This window comes from Homo sapiens, chromosome 4, assembly GCF_000001405.40.
Source record: "Homo sapiens chromosome 4, GRCh38.p14 Primary Assembly".
In the NCBI taxonomy this organism is placed as follows: Eukaryota; Metazoa; Chordata; class Mammalia; order Primates; family Hominidae; genus Homo; species Homo sapiens.
This window is the reverse complement of record NC_000004.12, coordinates 108,703,899-108,705,421: the sequence shown is the minus strand read 5'-3', so window position 1 is coordinate 108,705,421 and position 1,523 is coordinate 108,703,899.

The window sequence follows — 1,523 nt, the reverse complement described above, 5'->3', positions numbered from 1 at the left end:
TTTGTGTGTATATTTCATAATGAAATACTTTTAAATTTCCAACTCCACTTCTTAGCTAGTTGTTACATTAGTCCTTGTTCCATTAGTGTCTTTCTCTCCTCAGCTTTCCCATTTGTCAAATGGAGCTAATAACTGCATCACAAATTTGTCTCCTCATACAATACAGTAGTCCCCCCTTATCTGCCCTTGCACTTTCTACAGTCAACTGAGGTTTGAAAGTAGGTGAATACAGTAAAATTATGTAAATATATATAAAACAGCATGACGGTAACCACCCCGTGATTCAATTACTTCCCACTGGGTCCCTCCCATGACATGTGGGGATTATGGGAACTACAATTCCAGAAGAAATTTGTATGAGGACACAGCCAAACCATATCACTGGGATTGCAGACATTCACCACCATGCCCAGCTAATTTTTGTTCTTTTAGTAGAGACAGGGTTTGCTATGTTGGTCAGGCTGATCTCAAACTCCTGGCATCATGTGATCCACTCGCCTCAGCCTCCCAAAGTGCCAGGATTACAGGCATGAGCCACTCAGCCCGGCCATTATATTTTGAGACAGAAAGAGAGAGAGAGAAAGGCCATAGTCACATAACTTTTATTACAGTATATTGGGGGATTTTTTGTTTGTTTTTAAAGTGGAAACGAGTTTATTAAGAAAGTAAAAGAATAAAAGAATGACTACTCCATAGGCAGGGCAGCCCTTTATTACAGTATATTGTTATAATTGTTCTATTTTATTGTTAATTATTGCTGCTAATCTCTTACTGTGCCTAATTTATAGATTAAACTTTATCATAGGTATGTATATATAGAAAAAAGCATAATATACATATATAGGATTCCATACTATCCAAAATTTCACACATCCATTAGGGGTCTCAGAACATAACCCCTGGATAAGAGTGGACTACTGTATTACAAATAGCACATAGTACAGTACTTAGCACATGATAAATAATTTTTTAAAATGCTGATTTCATTCCCCCGCCCCAAAAATCTCTAGTAAGATCAGAGCCAGAGATGAGAGGACAACTTCTACAGGGGTTACATATTCAGGAGTGCCCTACATGCTGTCTTGGACTTACATTCTGTCCTGTACAAAAGCAATGTTGACTGGACAGTGAGGTTACCTCTTGCTCTTTCTGAAAGTCATGACGTCTATCAGTTTTATCACCTTAGGTGTAGGGCAAAGTGAAGCTCGTTCAATAATGCTTATCTCTAAACAAGCCTTCTGCCAAAGCCACCAACTGGCAGAGGGTTTTCTCCCCACCCCTTTTACTCTGCCCTTGAGTCTAGAGAAAGTGAACCTGTAGAATTTGATCCCTATTGGTAAGCACTGCCAGATTGTAACAAATGGAGGTAGAATTTTTTTTTTTTAAGAATTCATCATGAATTGAGATCCCTTTAAAATAATGTCATAAAGCACCTATAAAGACATATATTTAGGTTTTATATATATGTCCTTTGCAGATTTCGTGAGTTAGGGACGAAGATTGGTCTCTTAATAATAAAAACT